The sequence below is a fragment of the Homo sapiens genome, chromosome 2 (genome assembly GCF_000001405.40).
Source record: "Homo sapiens chromosome 2, GRCh38.p14 Primary Assembly".
In the NCBI taxonomy this organism is placed as follows: domain Eukaryota; kingdom Metazoa; phylum Chordata; class Mammalia; order Primates; family Hominidae; genus Homo; species Homo sapiens.
The window spans coordinates 27,464,528-27,488,206 of NC_000002.12; the positions used below are offsets into that span (position 1 = coordinate 27,464,528).

At 43.5% G+C, this 23,679-nt stretch overlaps 1 protein-coding gene and 1 pseudogene across 11 annotated transcripts in view; both read right to left on the minus strand.

The window, feature by feature from the left end:
• Positions 1-23,679, minus strand: part of IFT172 (intraflagellar transport 172) — a 45,367-nt gene that overhangs the window by 20,151 nt on the left and 1,537 nt on the right. For 3 of the 11 annotated variants that reach the window (XM_047443900.1, NM_001410739.1, XM_047443903.1), the window contains exons 2-18: positions 20,833-20,976; positions 20,491-20,603; positions 19,700-19,739; positions 19,345-19,410; positions 19,053-19,132; positions 18,762-18,849; positions 16,519-16,733; positions 15,499-15,622; positions 14,982-15,077; positions 13,468-13,629; positions 13,032-13,085; positions 12,690-12,793; positions 12,114-12,199; positions 7,723-7,835; positions 6,401-6,502; positions 1,219-1,355; positions 884-991 (exon numbers count right to left, since the gene is read on the minus strand). In XM_047443900.1, coding sequence (XP_047299856.1) covers positions 884-991; positions 1,219-1,355; positions 6,401-6,502; positions 7,723-7,835; positions 12,114-12,199; positions 12,690-12,793; positions 13,032-13,085; positions 13,468-13,629; positions 14,982-15,077; positions 15,499-15,622; positions 16,519-16,733; positions 18,762-18,849; positions 19,053-19,132; positions 19,345-19,410; positions 19,700-19,739; positions 20,491-20,603; positions 20,833-20,976 — 1,832 coding nt within the window. Of the gene's footprint in view, positions 1-883; positions 992-1,218; positions 1,356-6,400; positions 6,569-6,705; positions 6,838-7,722; positions 7,836-12,113; positions 12,200-12,689; positions 12,794-13,031; positions 13,086-13,467; positions 13,630-14,981; positions 15,078-15,498; positions 15,623-16,518; positions 16,734-18,761; positions 18,850-19,052; positions 19,133-19,344; positions 19,411-19,500; positions 19,640-19,699; positions 19,740-20,490; positions 20,604-20,832; positions 20,977-21,631; positions 21,716-23,679 lie in introns of those variants that run through there. The other 8 variants (XM_006711987.2, NM_015662.3, XM_011532758.2 and 5 more) reach the window with 6 other exon arrangements.
• Positions 10,967-11,068, minus strand: RNU6-986P (RNA, U6 small nuclear 986, pseudogene; annotated as a pseudogene).

Below are 23,679 nucleotides of genomic sequence, written 5' to 3' on the forward strand. Positions count from 1 at the left end.
TAGATTGAAGGGTATGAATAGTAAAAAAATGCTAAAGGGAACCTAGTTACAAGAAGGGGCAGTAAAAATAATAAAAGACATACTCTTGTTTTTTCACTTTTTTTTTTTTTGAGATACGATCTCGCGCATCAGCCAGGCTGGAGTGCAGTTGCATGATCTCAGCTCACCGCAACTTTGCCTCCCGGGTTCAAGTGATTCCTGTGCCTCAGCCTCCTGAATAGCTGGGACCACAGGTGCGCATCACCATGCCCGGCTAATTTTTGTATTTTTAGTAGAGCTGAGGTTTTGCCATGTTGGCCAGGCTGCTCTCAAACTCCTGGCTTCAAGTGATCTGCCCACCTCGCCCTCCCAAAGTGCTAGGATTACAGGCATGAGCCGCCGTGCCCAGCCAAGACATATTTTTTTTTTTTTTGAGACAGAGTCTTGCTCTGTCACCCAGGCTGGAGTACAGTGGTGCAATCTCAGCTCACTGCAACCTCTGCCTCCTGGGTTCAAGCAATTCTCCTGCCTCAGCCTCCTCAGTAGCTGGGATTACAGGCGCCCGCCACTACGCCTGGCTAATTTTTGTATTTTTAGTAGAGACGGGGTTTCACCATGTTGGCCAGGCTGGTCTTGAACTCCTGACCTTGTGATCTGCCCACCTCAGCCTCCCAAAGTGCTGGGATTACAGGCATCAGCCATCACGCCTGGTCAAGGCATACTCTTATAATCTAGGATGGGAGAGTGTTTGGAATATTGTACTGCAGAAGGGCTCTATGCTATTTGCTGGCAGTGGGAAGGGAGGGAGTACCTTAACACCGGATTGGAGTAGCCCACAGGGAAAATACTCATGTGATTATCCCTCCTAGCTGCGTGGCACCTCTGTTCTACATGTCTACCTCACCTCTCCGCAATGTGTAGTTGCCTTGCCTCTAGTGCCAGTTTACTCAAGGTTTTCCACATTGCCTCTGTTTCTGGGGTCATTTCCAGAGTCTCTAAGAAGGCTGTTGCCCTGGAAAGGGAAGGAAGCAAAGCATAATGAATGAGGAATGGGTTAGGAAGATACAGCAGAAGACTGGTGATGGGGCAAGGGGAGGGGGAAGGGCCATCTTTGTCTCATCTCCTCCCAGGATCACTGGATCCTTATTAGTGCTGGCCAGTTTTACACCCCACCCCAGGTCCTCCCCTCTCAGAACCAGACTCTCCCACCACCTCACTGGTTATTGGCCAGCCTCTCACCGGATGTAGTTGCCATCATCAATGGCTGTTCCAAACTCGATGAGGCCCTCATCCAATGTGTAGGCAACAGTAGTCACACCTTCCATCACCATCACCTCGGTCTTTCCCCCGCCCCGCTCCAGACCTATAACATCACCCTGTAAAAGTTTATCCCCCAACCCACCCCAATTTCAGGTTAGTTTCCACTGAATCAATTATAGAAAAGACCCACCCTCATCCGACCCAGTCAGTGGTCAAGAGAGTCACAGCGGCCCTGATTTTCCTAACATTTTAGTTTCTCTCAAGCATAAAAAAATACTTCATTTATAGCAATATCCTTGGGTTAAAGTATACTCCTATGACAGCACCAACTCTTGGAGGTATAAAGTGTGGCATTCACTTCTGCTTCCAGCAGTACCATAAGAGTAAGATATTCTTAAGGGATCTCTCATTAAAATATGACTTGAACCTGGAACATACTTTTTAATGCATTGCTTGGGCTTACTTGAAGAAATCACTAAGAATATTCCCTACCCATATCCTACCCTTCTCTCTCAGAAAAAGACAGACTGAAAGAAAAAGGTCAATAAGCTAAATCCTGAGCAAGAAAAAAAAGAAAGTGAGCAAATGGGAAAAGTACAGTTGTCCTGAAAGCAAATGCAGTGTCAGGAGAATAAACCTCAGGCCCTCCAGCAGGATGGGGAGTCTGAATTTGAAAATCCTTAATTAAACCTAGGATCCACTCTTTAGTAAAGGGAACAAAAGAAATGGTTACAGATCATTAATATGCCTGATTCCTGCAGAAGCAAGACCGAATCATCACTGGAGGAGAACATATCCATTTTAAGCCCTCAGGATTCCAAAAAAATACATTCAAAGCAACATGAGCTCACAATAAAAAGGAAAAAAATACAAGGAAACCAACCACTATGAAAAAGTAAACAATAACTACAAACAACAGTTTTAGATCTTCAAGAATTTCAGATATTAAAAATAACAGTTAAAGGCCGGGCTCGGTGGCTCATACCTGTAATCCCAGCACTTTTCGAGACCAAGGTGGGAGGAGCACTTGAGCTCAGGAGTTCAAGACCAGCCTGGGCAACATAGCAAGACCTCATCTCTACTGAAAGAAAAAAAAAAAATTATCTGGGTGTGGTTGCATGTGCCTGTAGTCCCAGCTACTCAGGAGGCTGAGGTGAGAGATCACTTGAGCCCAGGAGTTTGCTCATGCAGTGAGCCATGATCATGCCACTTCACAGCCTGGGTGACAAAGTGAGACCCTGTTTTTTTGTTTCATTTTGTTTTTGTTTTGTTTTTAAGCCCAGTTATGGAATATAAAATGATTATTTATGAAGCACCTAAATACCTTAAAAGATGAAATGAAAAATTAAGCAAGGAATAAGAAATTATCAATATGGCCAGGCAGACTGGAGAAATAATCAAATAAAACTTAAAGAAAAATTTAATATTTGAAGTAAAAAACTCAATGTACAGTTTAAATAGCAGATTAGACAATGATAAAAAGCAAATTAATGAATCGAAACAGATCTACAGAAATTATCCAGAGGCCAGATGCAGTGGCTCATGCCTGTAATCCCAGCACTTTGGGAGGCTCAGGCAGGAGGACTGCTTGAGCCCAGGAGTTTGAGACCAGCCTGGGAAACACAGTGAGAACTTGTCTTTACAGAAAATTGAAAAAAAAAAAAAAAAAAAAAAAAAAAAAAAGCAGGGCATGGTGGCATACGCCTGTAGTGGCATACGCCTGTAGTCCCAGCTACTCAGGAGGCTGAGATAGGAGTATAGCTTGAGCCCAGGAGGCTGAGGCTGCAGTGAGCCAAGATCACGCCACTGCACTCCAGCATGGCGCAACAGAATGAGACCCTGTCTCCAAAAAAAAAAAAAAAAAAAAAAAGGAAATTATCCAGAATGAAGCATGGAGCAGGAAGAAAGAAACTATGAAAGAGAAATTAAAAATGTAAAACAAGAAATCTAACATTTGCCTAACTAGAGTTCTGAAGAGACTAGAGAATGGCTGAGGAGAAGAACGTTCAAAGAGATAATAACTAAGAAACTTCCAAGAGTGATGAAAATATGTGTATTCATAAACACAGGAAACACAATCTATACTAAGCAGGATAAATTTTAAAAATTTATGGCTGGGTGCAGTGGCTCATGCCTGTAATCCCAGCACTATGGGAGGCTGAGGCTGGCGGATCACAAGGTCAGGAGATTGAGACCACCCTGGCCAACACGGTGAAACTCCATCTCTACTAAAAATACAAAAAATTAGCTGGGTGTGGTGGCATGCGCCTGCAGTTCCAGCTACTTAGGAGGCTGAGGCAGGAGAATTGCTTAAACCCGGGAGGAAGAGGTTGCAGTAAACCAAGATTGTGCCACTGCACTCCAGCCTGGATGACAGAGCAAGACTCTGTCTCAAAAAAAAAAAAAAAATTATATCTAGACACATTGTAGTGAAACTTCAAAACACCTAAGAAAAAGAGAAGATTTTTTTGTTTGTTTGTTTCTGAGACAGAGTCTTACTCTGTCGTTCAGGCTGGAGTGCAGTGGTACAACCTCGGCTCATTGCAACCTTTGCCTCCCAGGTTCAAGCAATTCTCATGCCTCAGCCTCTCGAGAAGGTAGGATTACAGGAGCATGCCACCATGCCCAGGTAATTTTTGTTCTTTTTAGTAGAGATGCGGTTTCGCCATGTTAGCCAGGCTGATCTTGAACTTCTGGCCTCAAGTGATCCGCCTGTCTCAGCCTCCCAAAGTGCTGGAATTATATGTGTGAGCCACTGTGCCCGGTCCTAAAAAAGAAGACTTTAAAAGAAACCAAAGAGAGGCCAGGCACGATGGTTAACGCCTGTAATCCCAGCACTTTGGGATGCTGAGGCGGGCAGATCACGAGGTCAGGAGATCAAGACCATCCTGGCTAACACGGTGAAACCCCATCTCTATTAAAAATACAAAAAATTAGCCGGGCATGGTGGCAGGCGCCTGTAGTCCTAGCTACTTGGGAGGCTGAGGCAGGAGAATGGCATGAACCCAGGAGGCAGAGGTTGCAGTGAGCTGAGATCACGCCACTGCACTCCAGCCTGGGCAACAGAGCGACACTCCGTCTCAAAAAAAAAAAAAGAAAAAAAAAAAGAGAAACCAAAGAGAAAAGACAGATCACCTGTACAGAAATGGCTGATGATAAATTTTTCCGAACAACAATGGAAGTCAATCAATGAAACAACATTTACAAATTAAGAAAAATTAACTGTCAATCTAGAACTGGGTACTGAGTCCAAGCATCTTTTCAGAACAAAGGCTAGATAAAAACATGTTCAGATAATGAAAAACTGAAAATTTATCATCTTTCACTAAAGAAATTTCTAAATAAGGCTGGGCGCAGTGGCTCATGTCTGTAATCCCAGCACTTTGGGAGCCTGACGGAGGCGGATCACTTGAGGTCAAGAGTTCGAGACTAGCCTGGCCAACATGGTGAAACCCGTCTCTACTAAAAATACAAAAATTAGCCAGGCATGGTGGCACATGCCTGTAATCCCAGCTTCTCAGGACGCTGAGGTGGGAGAATCACTTGAACCTGGGAGGTGGAGGTTGCAATGAGCCAAGATTGTGCCACTGTACGCCAGCCTGGGCAACAGAGTGAGACCCTGTCTCAAAAAACAAAAAACAGAAACAAAAAACTTCTAAATAATATTCTTCAGGAAGAAGAAAAGTCATTCCAGAGGGAAGATTAGCATTGCAAGAAAAGGTAAACAAAGGAACTGGTACCTTGATGGTAAATCTAAATGAATCCTGTCTTATAAAATAATCAGGCAGGGCGTGGTGGCTCATGCCTGTAATCCCAGCACTTTGGGAGGCCAAGGCGGGTGGATCACCTAAGGTCAGGAATTCGAGATCAGTCTGGCCAACATGGCGAAACCTCATCTCTACTAAAAATACAAAAATTAGCTGGGCATGGTGACAGGTACCTGTAATCCCAGCTACTTGGGATGCTGAGGCAGGAGACTCTCTTGAATCCAGGAGACAGAGGTTGCAGTGAGCCGAGATGACGCCACTGCACTCCAGCCTGGGTGACAGAGAGACTCTGTCTCAAATAAAATAAAATAATCATGCCTAACTTTGGAGACAAAATAAGATTAGAACTAAAATACTGGACAACAATGACAAAGGGGAGGAGATGAAAGTTAAAGTCTTGTATTGTTTGCAGGGGAGTGGTTAGATGCTGATTAACTTTAGACTTTGTTCATTTAACTACATGTTAAACTTTCAAGGTAACCTCTACAGAAACAGGACATATAACTTTCAAACCCAAAATGTGGAGAAAAAAAAAAGGTGCTTAAAGAAATTAAACACAAAATTAGCTGGACATGGTGGCATGCACCTGTAGTCCTAGCTGTACAGGGGGCTGAGGCAGGAGGATTGGCTGAGCCCAGGAGGCTGAGCTGCAATGAGCTATGACTGTATCACTGCACTCCAGCCTGGGAGATAGTGGGAGACCCTGTCTCAGAAAGAAGAGAGAGAAAGAGAGAGAGAAAAAAAAAAGAGAGGAAGAAAGAGTAAAAGAGAGAAGGAGAGAAAGAGAAAGAAAAAGAAAGAAAGAACTAAACAAATAAATTTTAGACCCTAATCAGTTTAAAATGAGGTAAAAAGGAGATTTTAAAAAGGTATGGAAAAGGACAAAAAGAAAGCATCAAGCGCTCTACCCATACACACACACTCCTAGCCTAGCACAGGAGCCTGCCTCTCGTTTTCTCTGGCTCCTCCCAGATTTTGGAAGACTACTGGGTATGTATGATGTTGTGGTAGGACAGGAGAGAAGAGCTGATCTGTAATTTGAGAAAAAAAGGCACTTTGAATGGCTTATAACGGAGAATCAGCATAGAAGGAGATGACATTAGAACTGCCTCTCCTATCAGGGATCTTCCAGCCTACAGGGATCTCCATATTATGACCTGGTGACTTCCCGGGGCCACTGTAATGAACCCATACTCCAAGGGTCTAATATAATGTCAGGAATCTGAAAAAGGATGGTTCTGGGGGCTGGTCCATAAGTCTAAGCTTTATTTGCCAATTCTATCACAGAGATTAAGGGTGGTGGACACAGAAAACCAAGTAGCCTTCAGAGTCTCCTCATGGCTCTAATTAATCAGCTCAATACCACATCTGAGGGCCCCTAGTGTCCAACATACCCTAATAGTGAACATGGTGACTCTCTCAGGTGCCTCAATGTTGTACCATACACACAGACTGTTTCGGTTCTGAGCTACCAGCACGTCACTTCCTGGGACCCACTGCATATAGGAGCAGAAGTTGAGGATCATTGTCTTAGAGCAGCTTTCAATATCATACAGATGCAACTGAAGAAAGAAAAGGCAGGTAACACAATTACAAGGGGATGTGGGGTTGTCTCCTGCTTTTGACCATTTTCCTAATGGTGAGATGTGGTGAGCTAACCCACCACTCAGGTTCATGCTGCATTTCAAAGCTTACTGACCTGCTTTCTGCTGAGCTGGTATATCCTAACTCTGGTCAAGTAAGAGATGACCCATAGAACAAAGATCTACATCCCAGGAATTTTAAGTTAGGTGAAGGTCAGACTTTCCTTCTTGAAATAACTCTGGGCCAGAGTTACCAGCTTGGATTACAAATGGCAGGCCACTAGAAAAATTAAATTATCCAGAAATTTGTGATGTGGCTTTCACTGAAATGAAAAGTCATCAGGTTGTCTCTTTGATCTGAGGTTGAAGACTCTGGTGCTACCATATTGGGATGAGAATCAATGAGGGACGAAGAGGCTGTCCTCCAGCCAGTTCATGCTATCAGATAAGTGTGGCTGAAAAGCACTGGACAGCAGGTCTAGGTGAAGGTCAGCTAGGCATGAGGAGGAGGAATGCAGGGTTAAGGAAGTTTCCTGAGGGCACAGACTGTGAATAGTAAGAGACACCAACTTCCAAACTCCCTTCTTGACTTTGTTGCCATAATACAATCACCTCTGAGGTCATACAGGATTGCTGGGCGCATGGCTCAACACCTGTAATCCCAGCACTTTGAGAGGCAGAGGCAGGCAGATCACCTGAGGCCAGGAGGTCAGGAGTTCGAGACCAGCCTGGCCAACATGGTGAAAACCCATCTCTACTAAAAATACAAAAATTATCTAGGTGTGGTGGCACGTGCCTGTAGTCCCAGCTACTGGGGAGGCTGAGGCAGGAGAATCACTTGAACCCGGGAGGCAGAAGTTGCAGTGAGCCCAGATTGTACCACTGCACTCCAGCCTGGGTGACAGAGTGAGACACTGTCTCCAAAAAAAAAAAAAAAGAGGTAATAAAGGATGGGTTTTGCTATCAGTTTTGGTATCAGCTACAGAGAATGTTGATTCTTCTGTGCCTTCTGCCATGTTGATGACACAGCAAAGACAATGTGCTCCATCCTGCCTCCCTCAGTCCCTGGTGGCAGCTTGTCTCACACCCTCTGTGGGCCAGCCAATGCCTAAGGCCTTAGTAGCTCTTCTCACACGAAGTTTCCGGTCCCTGAAGAGGAGCTTGTGTCCAGTCTCATTAAGTTCCAGCCAATCCACACGGCTCTCATGGCTGACGGTGCCAATGTTGTAGCCACCAATCAGATCCACTATAGAATAAAGGAGACAGGGTTAAGAAGAGAGATTCCACACATATACATAGTATGGCCAACACACATAATTTTGCTAGGATGCCTAGGAAGCTAGGTCTCTTTTAGAATTGTAGAGGTTTTGTTTAACTATGTTGTTAACTCAAAAGGTCCAGACCCACAGAAATGTCATCACTCTCTGGGGCTTATGGAGTTACCTCAGAGCAGACTAGAACTATTGAGCAAGTGGCTTCTCCTACTCACAGAATCCCCTCGAAGGCAGCACTGAGCACATTAAAGATAAGCCTGATACAATACAGCAGTGAGACAAGGCTGATGAATCAATGACCTTGATGGTCATATGCTCTAAGAAGTCACCCGTATATTTGAATGCCTACTGTGTAAGAGCACTGCAAGGGTGGATGGTGGGGAAGGCAACAGACAAACCTCTGACTAAAGTTAGGCTGGTCACTGCAGAGGATGAATATTTTAGTTTGGTTTGAATCTTCTAGACATTATCAGAAACTATCACATTTAGAGCAGACCAATTAGGGTTGGCTGGGATGGTTTCAGGGGGTCTCTTGATCAAAGCCTATTTATAAGTTTTAGTGATATCCATTATTAATGAACAATGGGCCCCACTTTGTTATATATGCTTAAGCTAAAGACCAAATGTCCACTGGTGTCCATAATTGTGAAGACCAATTTAAAAAACAATCTTCCTTTAATTAAAAAGTAAAATCGGCAGGGCATGGTGGCTCATGCCTGTAATCTCAGCACTTTGGGAAGCCAAGGTGGGCAGATCACCTGAGGTCAGGAGTTGGAGACCAGCCTGGCCAACATGGTGAAACCCTGTCTCTACTAAAAATACAAAAAAAATTAGCTGGGCGTGGTGGCTGGCACCTGTAGTCCCAGCTACTCGGGAGGCTGAGGCGGGAGAATGGCGTGAACCCGGGAGGCAGAGCTTGCAGTGAGCTGAGATCGCGCCACTTCACTCCAGCCTGGATGACAGAGCAAGACTCTGTCTCAAAAAAAAAAAAAAAAAAAGGAAAATGATAAAGCCGTATTTTTTTTTTCTCCCGCCTCAGCCTCCTGAGTAGCTGGGACTACAGGCGCCAGCCACCACGACCGGCTAATTTTTTGTATTTTTAGTAGAGACAGGGTTTCACCGTGTTAGCCAGGATGGTCTCAATCTCCTGACCTCGTGATCCGCCTGTCTCAGCCTCCCAAAGTGTTGGGATTACAGGCGTGAGCCACTGCGCCTGGCCGATAAAGCCATATTTTAATGCCCCAATTATAAGTAGAATCAGAGTTCTAGAGTGGCGACGGCCCTAACTCCTCAGAACCCTGAAATTATACACAAAATTATGTGTGTACAGTATATATTTTTCTCTGAGAAGGTCTACGATTTTAGATACTCCAAAGGGTTGATAGCCCAAAAAAGTTAAGAGAAGAACTTTTTTATTTTTATTTTTTTTCCCCCGAGACAGAGTTTCACTCTTCTCACCCAGGCTGGAGTGCAGTGGCACGATCTCGGCTCACTGTAACCTCCACCTCCTGGATTCAGGCGATTCTCCTGCCTCAGCCTCCCGAGTAGCTGGGATTATAGGCACCCGCCACCATGCCCGGCTAATTTTTGTATTTTTAGTAGAGATGGGGTTTCACCACGTTGGTCAGGCTGGTCTCGAACTCCTGACCTCAGGTGATCCGCCCGCCTCGGCCTCTCAAAGTATTGGGATTATAGGCATGAGCCACCGTACCCGGCCTTGAACTCTGTCATTTTACATACATTGAAAATGAGACCTACAGAGTGAAATTGCTTGTCCAAGTTCTCACAACTCATTTTTGCTGCTCGAATCTTAGGCCTCTTGGTCTACATTATTGTTTCCATTATAGATACCTACATTTCTGAGTGCAGAAACCTAATGTGAAATATAATATTCATGAAATGTGCAACTATTTTAAGAATGGACTCATGTATATGGAAACTTGATTTGTGACAGAGATTGCGTTACAAATTAGTGGGTGAAGAATGGACTTTCAACAAATGGTTAAACATATGGAAAAAAATAAAATTAGATCGCTACCCACATTATACATAAAAACAAATTCCAGGTGAAAAGCAAAATTTAAAAATGTTAAAATATAGGAGGGAATAGGAAAGGATTTCTTAAATTAGACTTAAAGCATCATAAACTATTTTCTTTTTCTTTTCTTTTTTTTGTTGGAGACGGAGTTTCACTCTTATCGCCCAGGTTAGAGTGCAGTGGCACAATCTCAGCTCACTGCAACCTCCACCTCCCCGGTTCAAGTGATTCTCCTGCCTCAGCCTCCCGAGTAGCTGGGATTACAGGTGCCCTCCACCATGCCCGGCTAATTTTTGTATTTTTGGTAGAGACGGGGTTTCACCATGTTGGCCAGGCTGGTCTTGAACTCCTGACCTCAGGTGATCCGCCTGCCTTGGCCTACCAAAGTGCTGGGATTACAGGCATAAGTCACTGTGCCCGGCCTCAAACTGTTTTTTTTTTTAAGTGAAAAAAAATGGACTATTTTAAAGTGAAATGTCTGAACAGTAAAAGACTCCCAAAAGGAGAGAAAAGACAAGCCACAGGCTGAGGCAAAAATATCTGCAATGCAAATAACCACCAAAGTCTATACAAGCATATGCAAAGAACTCCTTCAAATCAATGAGGAAGAGACACTCTGATTTTAAAAATGGGTAAGAGATAGGAACTAGCAATTCACAGAAGAAATATAAATGGTCAATAATTATTATATATGAAATTAATATGAGATCTAATTTTATATATATCACGTTTAAGCCAAATTATGAAGTCAGGCAATTTCAAGTATTACAGAAGATGTCAGACAATAGAAACTCTAACTGCTGGTGGGAATAGAAATTGGTATAACTTTTTTAGAGAACAATTTGGAAATAGTGAAGTTGAAGACACAGCTCCTCTATGATTTAGCAGTTCCATTCTAGGCATGGAACTAACTGAATCACTGTAATAGTGAAAAATCAGCAACTTAAATGCCCATCAATAAGAGGGAGGATATAAAATGATTCAATGTAAATATAACAAAATGTCAGGATTTGACAGAACTGGGTATGGATAAACAAGTGATAATATCTTCTTTTAAAAAATTGGTTTAAAGTGGAAAGCTTCATAAATTTGTGTGTCATCCTTGCACGGGGCCATGCTAATCTTCTCTTTATCATTCCAATTTTAATATATGTACTGCCAAAGCAAGAAAAATATCATTATTTATAGCTAACATTTATTATTATGTACCAGGGATAAGTGTATTTCATATAAAGTACTATTTTTATCCCTATTTTGTAGATGAGGAAATTGAGATATAGAAAGATGAAGTAACTTCCTGAGATCACACAGGTAGAGAATTGAGATGGTTTGACTCTAGAGTCCCATTCTTTTTTTTTTTTAAATTTAATTAATTTCTTTTTTCATAGAGATAGGGTCTCACCATGTTGCCTAGGCTGGTCTCAAACTCCTGAGCTCAAGCAATCCGCCCGCCTCAGCCTCCCAAAGTGGTGGGATTACAGGTGTGAGCCACTGTGCCTGGCCCAGAGCCCCATTTTTAACAGCTACATTGTATAGGTAATGCTATTCTCTATACTACTTTTTATGCTTGAAACATTTCACGATAAAAATATGAACATATAAGATTTATAAATCTTATATGTTAATATTTGTGAAATGCAAATAAAATTTCTGTCATTATTAGTTACTAATGATAAACTATACAAAAAATAAGACCTCTTCCAGTTCTAACAGTCTATGATTCTATGAAGTGAAAACAGGAAAATTCATAAATTTAATGGGCCTTCTCTACTACTCACAATTTGCCAACCCTAAGATATATGTCTAGAGAACGTGAATAATTATATGGACCTCTGGGTTTTGTTTTTGTTTTTGTTTTAAGAGATGGGGTCTTACTCCATCATCTAGGCTGGAGTGCAGTGGCACAAACATAGCTCACTGCAGCCTTGGACTACTGGGCTCAAATGATCCTGCCTTGCCCTTTCAAAGTGCTGGGATTACAAGCATGAGTAACTGTGCCTGGACTGAACCTTTGTTTTTATATCTAGATATCCAGGTACAGATGCACACATATTGACTTAAACATTTCATATATATCCACTGTACATGTGGAGTTACTATTTACCTGGTGCGTCTCAGATTCCTGCATTCCCCACTGAATGCAATCCTGTGGTATGGAAGTGTGATATAAACATCTATTTTGTTATTAAAATTATGAGAGAGTCTTACTCACCTATAGCAATAGTCTTAATATCAATAAGATAAGCCAATTTCTTATTATCTTCTGTTCCTCGCTGACACCTCTCATTAATACGAACACTGAAACATGAAGGGTGAGGTAAGGCAAAATGGGCTGAGGTAGTTGGGATGTTTATTAAAGGCTCTGAAGTACCATATGGGATGAAGCTTTTATTTATTTATTTATTTATTTTGAGACAGGGTCTCACTCTGGTTGCCAAAGCTGAAGTGCAGTGGTGTGATCACGGCTCACTACAGCTTTGACTTCCCAGGCTCCGGGTGATTCTCCTACCTCACCTTCCTGAGTAACTGGGACTACAGGGGTGTGCCACCATGCCTGGATAATTTTTTGTATTTTTAGTAGAGATGGGGTTTCACCATGTTGCCCAGGCTGGTCTTGAACTCCTGGACTCAAGTAATCTGCTTGCCTCCTCCTCCCAAAGTGCTGGGATTATAGGCATGAGCCACCACACCTGGCTGAAGCTTTTGGATTAACTGGAGGACACAGAATTTAGGAGTCCAAAAGGAATTATTCTGGGTTTCAGGGATTCAGAGAATCTTGTGAGGTTACCTGATGAGGTGGGGGTTCATGAATTCAGTGCGTACAGAACCCAGGGTGTCATTATTCCCATATTCCACCAGGGTTAGCTCTCCGGCATTGAAGATCATGCATACCTGGGAAAAATGGAGTTGTTATACGGTGGAAAGGCTACATGAAGAAAAACAGTAGTGGGAGGTGTACTGTCAGTTCAAGGTGACTACCACTTTTCTCCTTGTTCTCTTACCCTGCCAATTTCATCCTCCCTGTTTCTTTATCTGCTGTTTCCCTATCCCTTGCAACTTGCCATCTTTATGACACAGAAGCTAGAAGGAGGCTTATCAAGATGGTGATGGTGAATCAAGCTCTACTCACATTCTCATTTTCAAAGAAATACTTCTCATTGCCACCAGATCCTTGCCAGGCTATCTGTAACGGGAGAAGACTTAAGAAGCAATGTGGATAAATACCCAAGATAATGCCGAAAGAATGAAGAATGACAGGTTGGGAAGTGGAAAGATATATTTATGTAGGCTTTGGCACTACACAAAAGAGGTGCTGTATCAGAATCTGCTCTGGTCCCTGAGAGAAACCAGAGAGATTTTCTGAGAGATGGCATAAAAACAGTCCAAATATGGTGATTCATACTCTGGGATTATAAAACTCCTGGGTCTCCTTCCCTGAAACCAGGTCCCCTACACCAGAATGTTAGAACTTCTCATGGAGAGCTTACCCCTAGGGATTTTGGGTCCCCACAAATATTAAGCCAAGATGCCCTATTCCCCACCCTACCCTCAATTTTGGTTCCTACCTCACTAAGCCGATTAGTGTTCAGGTCCCCCAGCAGCAGTGTTTCTGATGTGTGAGCCACCAAGTAACGTTCCTTTCCTAGGATTTTCACCTCTTCCACCTCATAGCCATAGTGTGACTTGAGCACCACTCGGGTTCCTGATGACAGGTTCTTCACAATCACCTTGGTAAAGGACAAGTGTGAGCCCCTTAGGCTTCCCCAGCCCAAAAGAAGGGTGAACAACCATGACCTTTGCCCACCTCCACAGCACTAAACAAAGCTAATACCTTGTTTCTTCCCTGGGTCTAGGATATTGTTGATAGTAATGATATCTTATGTTTATATGGGGCTTTACTATTTATGAAATGCTTTCCTATATTATCTCTTTTGACACTCATAATTTATATAATTCTGAAAGTTCCACTGGGTAAAACCAATCACTCTATGTTCTCATGGTCTTTGTACAAACCTTATATATCATTGATCACAGTGTATGTATTGATCAGTTGATTGACTGACTTGACAGGGTCTCAGTATGTTGCTTAGACTGGCCTTGAACTCCTGGGTTCAAGCAATCCTCCTGTCTCGGCCTTCTGAGTAGCTGAGACTACAGGCATGTGCCACTGCATCTGGCTAATATTATTTTTTGATATGTCTGTGTCCTCTGTTATAATGATCTCTTTGATCAAGGGACAATGTCTTACAGATAATTATCTGTGTATTCCCAATGCCTAACACTGCTGACACATAGTAGAGAATGAATAAATGTTTCTGGAAAGAACAAAAGAATGAAGAAACCAATGTATAATAAATGGAAGGACAGAGGTAGAAAAAAGAGAAAAGTGGGCCCAGGAACTGAGAAATTTTTAGCTTGCAACATCATACACAGTGAGCTCAGAGGCCTTAAAACAACAGAGTTCACATTTATAATCCTATTTATCCAACTGCCCAATTGCCAGTGTGTAGCCAGTAAAGTTTTAAGTCAGGAAGGCTTAAGTGGCAATCTCTGCACACCTTATGCCTGGTGCTTAAAACTTTTCTTTTTTTTTGAGACAGAGTCTTGCTCTGTCACCCAGGATGGAGTGCAGTGGTGCAATCTCAGCTCACTGCAAGCTCCGCCTCCTGGGTTCATGCCATTTTCCTGCCTCAGCCTCCCAAGTAGCTGGGACTACAGGCACCCGCCACAACGCCCGGCTAATTTTTTTGTATTTTTAGTAGAGACGGGGTTTCACCATATTAGCCAGGATGGTCTCAATCTCCTGACCTTGTGATCCGCCCGCCTCGGCCTCCCAAAGTGCTGGGATTACAGGCATGAGCCACTGTGTCCAGCCAAAACTTTTCTTATAATAAGCTGCAAGAACTACAGCAGGAAAGTTACCACGGTGTTGCCCTGACATATTCTGTTGCCCAGAACAGCTCTTCCAGAGGGATGAAGATTAAATTTGAACTATGGCTGTGGCCAGAAGGCAGGGAAATGTTATAAGGAGGAATGAGCCACGCAAGTTCTCAGTGCAGTAGGCTACCATCCTGCTTACCTGGCTAGGTCCCACATACGTCAACTCAAACTTGTTCTTGTAAATACTCCTTCGGAGGCAGCAGTCAAACTGTTCCACCCCACCACATAGTGTGCCCTAGAAGGGAAAGTGACAGCATAAAAGGTCACACACATAGTACACTGGCATGGGGAGAGTATCTAGAGACATCCTCAAAACCTAAGCTCTAGAGTCTAGAGAAGAGTTGGCAGTGAAAGAGCTGGCAGTTTTTGGAATTACCAAAAGGAAAGAGGCTACAATCATTGGACTCAAGGGCACAACATATTAATGGGATAAAAGGGAAAAACTAGCCCTGCCTACACACAATTTTTTGTCCCTTTTGTGACCTAGGGTAAAGTATGAATTTCTCTTTCCTGCCTTTAATGCCAGAATTTTAGGTCAGGGTCAAAAGGAAAGAGGAGATTCTATAGTGTCAGGGAACAGTGCTTTAGGATAAGGCAGGATTTTTTTCTAGTTTGGTGAAAGTCACCAATCCAGAAAGGGATTACTAGTAACACACCACACAGAGCCGTGAGCCATCCCGCTTCCAGGCCAAGGCAGTGATGGTGTATAAATTGGTAATCTCCTTGGGCTTTGCCTCTTCCCAGATGCTTCTTCGAGGGATCCAGTTGAACACCCGAAGCCTGAAATAAAGTATGTGGCTTTTAGAAGAGATTGAGGCTGAGCTAAAGAGTGCAAATGGGCTGATAACCAAAGGAAATTAGTCTTGCTATATCAGAAAAGAAAGGAAATAAAAAGAACAGACAAGCTAGGCAGTCTAGCAGAAGAGGATATAAAGGTGCACAGGAAATAAGCTGGGAAAATCAAGGCAAAACTAAAACAGAATAAGAGTGAGGGGAGCAGAGAAAACAAAAAGACCAGGGCAGGTGAGAAAAATAAGCTACTAGGAGCAAAAAAATATGGAACAAGGAGATAAATGGTAGGAGTCAGTGAAGAAAGAAGAGAATACAAGGAGACATAAGATTGAAGGGGATAGAAAGACAGGACTGATAAAGCTGGGGTTAAACACATGCCAGAGAAATGATGAGACCTGGAACATGGCTGTTTATCTGCTGTTCCATCATTCATTCATTCATTCGCCAAACATCTGAGCATATCTTAAATATATATAGCATATAGATGCTAATCTAGGCACTGAAAAGATGAATAATAAGCCCCCTTCTCAAGGACTCTGATTTAGCCATCTATCTGGCTAAACAACAGTAGTTTGCAAACAACAAACTGTAATATAATGTGAGAAACTCTAAGCGGTCTCAAAGGGGGCAATGGAAACAGAAAATAGAGATGAATTCTGCTGTGGAAGTGCAGGGAGCGGCACAGAGACAAAACAAGAGCCCAGGACATTTTGGAACTGCCAGCACACCAATGGATAGCGGGAGCAGGAAGAGGAAAGCGCATGAATTACATACATACATTTGATTCTGCTCCAGTCTCGCACTCTGGCTCAGAATAATTTGGCTAAAGCAGAGAGTGTTCGCAGGGAAAGTAGGCAGTAGATAAAACTGGAAAGGGGACTTACCTGTCATAACTTCCTAGCACAACAGACTGGCCCCCAGGACTTGATACAGCTGTGGTGAACTCCCGCTCCTGAGGGTCACGGCTATAATCAAAAGTTTGTAGCATGTGACCTTCTTTTCCATAGGCTACAATTTTCCGATCACAGCCTGCAGCCACGATGCTATTGGTTGCCCATGCCAAGGCATAGGGTGGACACGGGTGGTTAACCAACTTCCCCTAAGACAGAAGTAGAGGGTTTCAATCACTCTTCGAAGACTCCACCCGAGAAATTCCTCACTCTCAACACCTGGTACATTCACTCTGACCATCATACCCTGCAGAAATCTCTTCCAACATTTCCCTATCCCAACACATCCTAATCCTGAACTCTTCACAAATTGTCACACACACACACACACACACACACACATACACACACACACACACCCCTATACACATAGGGGTTGACCTTGTGCTCTAGAAAAACCTCAAAATGCTTGTATATTGGAATTTTCTTTTTTCTTTTTTTTTTTTTTGAGACAGAGTCTCACTCTGCCGCCCAGGCTGGAGTGCAGTGGCACAATCTCATCGCTGCAACCTCCGCCTCCCCAGGTTCAAGCGATTCTCCTGTCTCAGCCTCCTGAGTAGCTGGGATTACAGGTGTGTGCCACCATACCAGGCTAATTTTTCTGTTTTTAGTAGAGATGGGGTTTCACCATGTTGGTCAGGCTGGTCTCGAACTCCTGACCTTGTGATCAGCCCGTCTCAGCCTCCCAAAGTGCTGGGATCACAGGCGTGAGCCACCACGCCCAGCATGTATTGGAAATTTTTAATATGCACCTGGTAAAGCTCCTCAGAAAAGGAGATGTGCTACACATTAACCAACACCGTCTGGGCCCACAAAGAGCATAGGGCTTCTTTTTTTAAGGAGGGTCAAATTTCAGTATTATACGAATAATTCTTCTTTTTTTTTTTTTTTAGATGGAGTCTCACTCTGTCGCCGGGGCTGCAGTGCAGTGGCGCGTTCTCACCTCACTGCAACCTCCCCTCCCGGGTTCAAGCAATTCTCCTGCCTCAGCCTTCCGAGTAGCTGGGATTCCGGGCACGTTCCACCATGCCCGGCTAATTTTTATATTTTTAGTAGAGACGGGGTTTCACCATGTTGGCCAGGCTGGTCCTGAACTCCTGACCTCAGGTCATCCACCCGCCTTGACCTCCCAAAGTGCTGGGATTACAGGAGTGAGACACTGTGCCCGGCCTATACAAGTAATTCTTTTTTTTTTTGAGATGGCATTTCACTCTTGTTGCCCAGTCTGGAGTTCAATGGCATGCGATCTTGGCTCACTGCAACCTCTGCCTCCCAGGTTCAAGCGATTCTCCTGCCTCAGCCTCCCAGAAAGCTGGGATTACAGGCATGTGCCACCACGCCCAGCTAATTTTTTTGTATTTAGTAGAGACGGGTTTCACGTCAGGCTGGTTTCCAACTCCTGACCTCAGGTGATCCACCCGCCTCGGCCTCCCAAAGTGCTGGGATTACAGGCACGGCTCACAAGTAATTCTTAATGTAAATGATTCAAACAACACACAATTATATAGAGTAAAACATGAAAGTTTCCTTTTTATCCCCCATCTTTTTCCTTTCCCCTTTCCAGAGTAAACTATTAACTCTTTTTTCTATGAATCTACATACATAAATATATATATTTTACATAAATGGGAATAATTTTCACTTTTCATTACTCTAAGAGTTTTTATTTCCCTTTGTCTCAAGGTCCCTTTCACCTAATTCATCCCTTCTTATAAGCAGTAAGCTCCAGGCTCCTAAACACAAATCCTCTCAGTGGCCACATCCAACTTTTTCTCTGTCCCTGAGTTCTCCTCTAGCTTCCTCTCTTAGTATCTCAATCCAAATGCCTTAGAAGTCCAACCTCCTCTAGGAGGGCTCCTGGAATTTCCTTATCCCCTATTCCACAGCATCTTTTTTTTTTTTTTTTTTTGAGACACGGTCTTGTTCTGTCACCCAGGCTGTAGTGCAGTGGTGCTATTTCAGCTCACTTGCAGGCTCAACCTCCTGGGCTCAAGTGATCTTTCCACTTCGGCTTCCTGAGTAGCTGGGACTACAGGCCCATGCCACCATGCCCGACTAATTTTTGTATTTATTTTTTGTTTTTTTGGTAGAGACAGGGTTTCACTGTGTTGCCCATGCTGGTCTCAAACTCCTGGACTCAAGCAATCCAAGCCTCCCACAACATTCTTTATTCATACCTGTGACTCTCCAGAGCCTTCATCATCAAAGAAATACCTAACGATGGTACCATCTGCATGACCAGAGAGAATTCCTTTCCCAGAGCAACTAAAAAAGGAGAAAGGAGAGAAATACAGGAAGAGACTATTTTATCTCACCAAGAAAGCCCCTTTCTCTGTCAAACACAACCTTGTCTGTGCTTCCTGCTACCAGTTCTCCTGCCTTTCATACTATGGTCTTGCAGTCCAGACTTCCCCACAGCATTTTCCTAACACTTCCAGACTCTAGTGATACTACTCCTCTTTACTCACTTTGTTGTCAGGGACACCACGTAAGACTCTGTCCCATAGATGGTAGATGATTTATTAGTTTTGGTGTTTGCTAAACGAACCTGAAAATGGAAAAATTGATACAAGTATGGTTAGGCTATTTTATATTTAACTAGGCCCTAAGAAAAAAAGGAAAAACTGTCCCACAAAACTGGTCCCTATGCATTCTCCCCAGTACGCAACTTGATCCTAAGAAAGAGGATGAACCATATTCCTCTCTCCAGAACCATTATCCCTACCACCCCCTCTCTTGTGTTTCCCTTCCCTCTTTTACCTTCCCTTCAGCCAGTCCAAAGACAATGATGTATTCTGCCGGCCATTGCAGACAAGTGACAGCACTCTGCGTGGAAGGAAACAATGAAAAGGATAACCCCATCTGTGTGGGCCAGCACTTTTATAACAACTTCAACACCCCACCACACACCACCACCTCAATCTCCTATAGGGAAGGACACAGCAGGGCTCTAAGGAAGACAGCAGATGACCATGAACAGCCATGAAGCACCATCCTTGCAGTAGGAAAAGTCACATTCAGATGTTAGAAATGCAACTCCTGGCTGTATTTATAAGTAGATATACTGATATATGTTTGTTCATCCTAAGGTTCCAGGGACTGGTCTGAACTTTACCGTCTGGATGAACTTGTTGCAGATGACTTTCTTGTCACCCCTGCCAAACAAAAGAAGGGGAAACATATTAAAAACCACTTCCAGGCCGGGCGTGGTGGCTCATGCCTGTAATCCCAGCACTTTGGGAGGCCGAGGCGGGAGGATCATGAGGTCAGGAGATCGAGACCATCCTGGCTAACACAGTGAAACCCCGTCTCTACTAAAAATACAAAAAATTAGCCGGGTGTGGTGGTGGGCGCCTGTAGTCCCAGCTACTCGGGAGGCTGAGGCAGGAGAATTGCGTGAACCTGGGAGGAGGAGCTTGCAGTGAGCCACAATCGCGCCACTGCACTCCAGCCTGGGTGACAGAGTGAGACTCTATCTCAAAATAAATAAATAAATAAATACCACTTCCATAAACAAATTGCCAAAAATGATGCTGAGGGAAGAGAAGAAAGAGCAGATTTCTTCCCTGGCCCAGTAGTATTTCTGACTACTCTGTAGGAGCCCTGAAAGGAGGTATATGAGGGAGCCTAAGCAGCTTCAGAACAATAACAAAGATGTGACATCACTCTGGGCTTCCAGGATCTCACAGGGCCTCCTGTTGACCTTGGACTGTTTCCTCCAGGGATGGGATTGAAGAACACGTGGGACAGGTGAAGGCAGAAAAGCAAAAACAGACTCCAGAAAGTCTCTGCCTTCAATGGCCAAGCTTGGCTTCTCATCCCCTGTATTTCCCCTCCCCAGTGAGGCATTTCTCTTGCCTTCCCCTTCTTTCCTGGGCCATCCCATCTCCCAGTCTCTATCCTCACCAATCTTCTCCAATCTTGTAGACATAGATGATGTTGTCAGTCTGTCCTATGGCAATTTTAGTGGAATCAGGAGAAAAAGCCATGCCCTTCACCATATAGCTCTTCCTGCCATACTAAGAGTTTAAAAAAAAAAAAAGAAAGAAAAAGAAGTAATGAGTACACATGAAAGAGAAAAGAGAAAAAAAGGCATATGTGTGCTCCTAAGGGAGCTTGAGGATTTATACTGAGAAAAAGGTGGGGTATGCCATTTCCTATGCTGATGGCTAGAAGGCAGACTACGTCTTTCAAGTTGTGAGACCCCATCAATAGGTTAAATAAGGTACACATGAATACACTGTTTACCTTCATGTCAGCTGGTTTGGTGGAGAATTTATCTCTCCGTTCTCCATGTTCATCATACAGCAAGACCACTCGGTCCACTGTGCAGACAGCAAATTTGGCATTGTTCTGGGACCAAGCCATGCAGGTCACCTTTGCAGCTCCATCCTGTAGAGGCAAAGGGGTAAAAACAAACCCATGTGCTGGTCTAGAATGCCAAAAGCATTTCTAGCTTCATTAATTCTAGTGTAATACTGGTCAATTTTCTTCCTGTCACGGTTCTATCCTCAAAACAAAGAGATGCCTGTGGCCCATGCTGGTCTCCAAGGCCTTCAGATCCTGGACTGTGAGAACAACAGGCTTCTAGAGACTCATATGCAAATGCACTAAGAGGCAGGGTGCTAAGTCAACTGTATCAATGAATCCCTGCAACGGCCTCCTCGTTTCCAGGTCTGCTACTGAAATAAATTCAATTAGTCTGGTAAGTTTTGGTCATTAGCCATTCATTCAATTAATATTTTTTTAGCACCTTATTGATCAAGGCACTTGGCCAGGGGCTGAGAGAGAGACAAAAAGCAAACCATAGATCCTGCCTCCACGTCTAATAAGATGGTGCAAAATAGAAAAGTCCTATTAAAGTATGTATAAAGTACTACAATAGTTTGGAGAAGCCTGAGAGAATTTTATGCTTAAATTATCAAAATTAAGCTTTGAAGAATGAATGCAGTTGAGTAGGAAGTTATCTGAGATGGGAGGAATGGCAATGAGCAAAGGCAAATTCTGGACAAGAAACAGTAATTTAGTTTATTTGAAACTATTATACCTTATAAATAGTAGAATAGACGGGGTAAGGCAGGAAAAACAGGCCAGCTCAGGAAGTCTTTGAAGCCAGGCAAAGGAGTTTGGGCTTATTTGAAAGGAAAGGGAGAGACAGTGAGAGTTCAGGATGGGCGAGTACGAGTTGAGACTCAGGACGAATAATCCCACTTTCTTTTCTTCTTAACTACCCACTTCAGAGAAACCCAAGTTAGAAGTTATCTCCAGGTGAATTATTCTGACCAGATCTGACCCTTCCAACACTAGCTCTGGTCCTAAGGGACTAGCTCTGCTACTAAGGGTTTCCTTCCTTGAAAACAAAACATTTTATTCTGCTTTTCTTCTGCCCCAATTGTTTAATTATTTGGACACTAGAGTTCTGGCTTCAAACATTGACACTTTACACTCCAAACTCACCTATCTCCAAAGTCAGAAGTAAAAAGTCTATTTTCCTGCAAATCCTCAAACCAGAAAATAGCCACACCACCATCACTATGATCCTCTAACTCTTCATTATATTAGGTTAGAAGGCCTGAGGGCTCCTCATCAATCTTTGCTGATCCTCCTGCTTTATCGCTTTGCCCAATTCTGGGCATTCAGCCCTACCTGCATCATGACATCATCTTATTTTGAGAGACTGAAGGAGGATTTCATTTCCAATTTTTCCATTAGGGCGGAGAAATTTTTAAAGTACAGATTCAATGGACAGCTTGCTGAGCAATGAGCACAAATCTCTGTCTTTTTATTTTTTTCTCCAACTGAGGAGAGAGCACAACTATCTTTGTTCTAATTTCCTTCTTTTTTTTTTTTTGACGGAGTCTCACTCTGTCCCCCAGACTGGAGTGCAGTGTCACAATCTCAGTTCACTGCAACCTCTGTTTCTTGGGCTCAAGCGATTCTCCTGCCTCAGCCTCCCAAGTAGCTGAGGCTATAGGCGTGTGCTACCATGCCTGGCTAATTTTTTTATATTTTTGGTAGAGACATGGTTTCACCGTATTGCCCAGGCTGGTCTTGAACTCCTGACCTCAAGTGATCCACTCACCTTGGCCTCCTGAAGTGCTGGGATTACAGGCGTGAGCCACCACGCCCGGCCTGTGTTCTCATTTCCTCCTATTGTCCAAATGCCACACCCTCTGTGAAGCCTTCCTGATTTCCATAATCAATTAATTCTCCTTTCTCTACAATATGTACCTCACTAGATTTTTTTATTAAGTGAGGTAGGGAATAAAATAATAAGAGCTTGCCTTTAACAAGTACTTACCATAGAATAGGCATTTTGATAAGTGCTTGACAAGCATAATCTCATTTTACCTCATAACACTGAGGTAGATGCTATTATTATCCCCCTTTTACAGATAGATGAATGGAAGCCCAAAAAGATTAAGTAATTTGCCCAAGTTCACATATACAGTTTGTAAGTGGTAGGACCATGATTTATTTATTTAATTAATTTATTTTTTGAGGCAGAGTCTCGCTCTGTCACCCAGGCTGGAGTGCAGTGGTGCGATCTTGACTCACTGCAACTCTGCCTCCTGAGTTCAAGCGATTCTCCTGCCTCAGCCTCCCGAGTAGCTGGGATTACAGGCATGCGCCACCACATCTAGCTAATTTTTGTATTTTTAGTAGTTTCACCACGTTGGCCAGGATGGTGTCGAACCCCTGACCTCGGGTGATCTGCCTGCCTCGGCCTCCCAAAGAGCTTGGTTTACAGGCATGAACCACTGCGCCTGGCCTAGAACCATGATTAAATCCATGTATGTGTAAATCCATAAACCATAATCCCAATTTCTTTATTAAGGTACCCCAGTACATATTACACACTCAGTTATGGAACATCTTATTTATTTTTAAGACACAGCCTCACTCTGTCACCCAGGCTGGAGTGCAGTGGTGTGATCACGTCTCACTGCAGCCTCGACCTCCTGGGCTCAGGAGATCCTCCCACTTCAGTGACCCCAGCAGCTGGGCCTACAGGTGCTTGCCACCACACGAGGCTATTTAAAAAAAATTTTTTTTTTTTGGACAAAGTCTCACTCTTGTCCCCCAGGCTGGAGT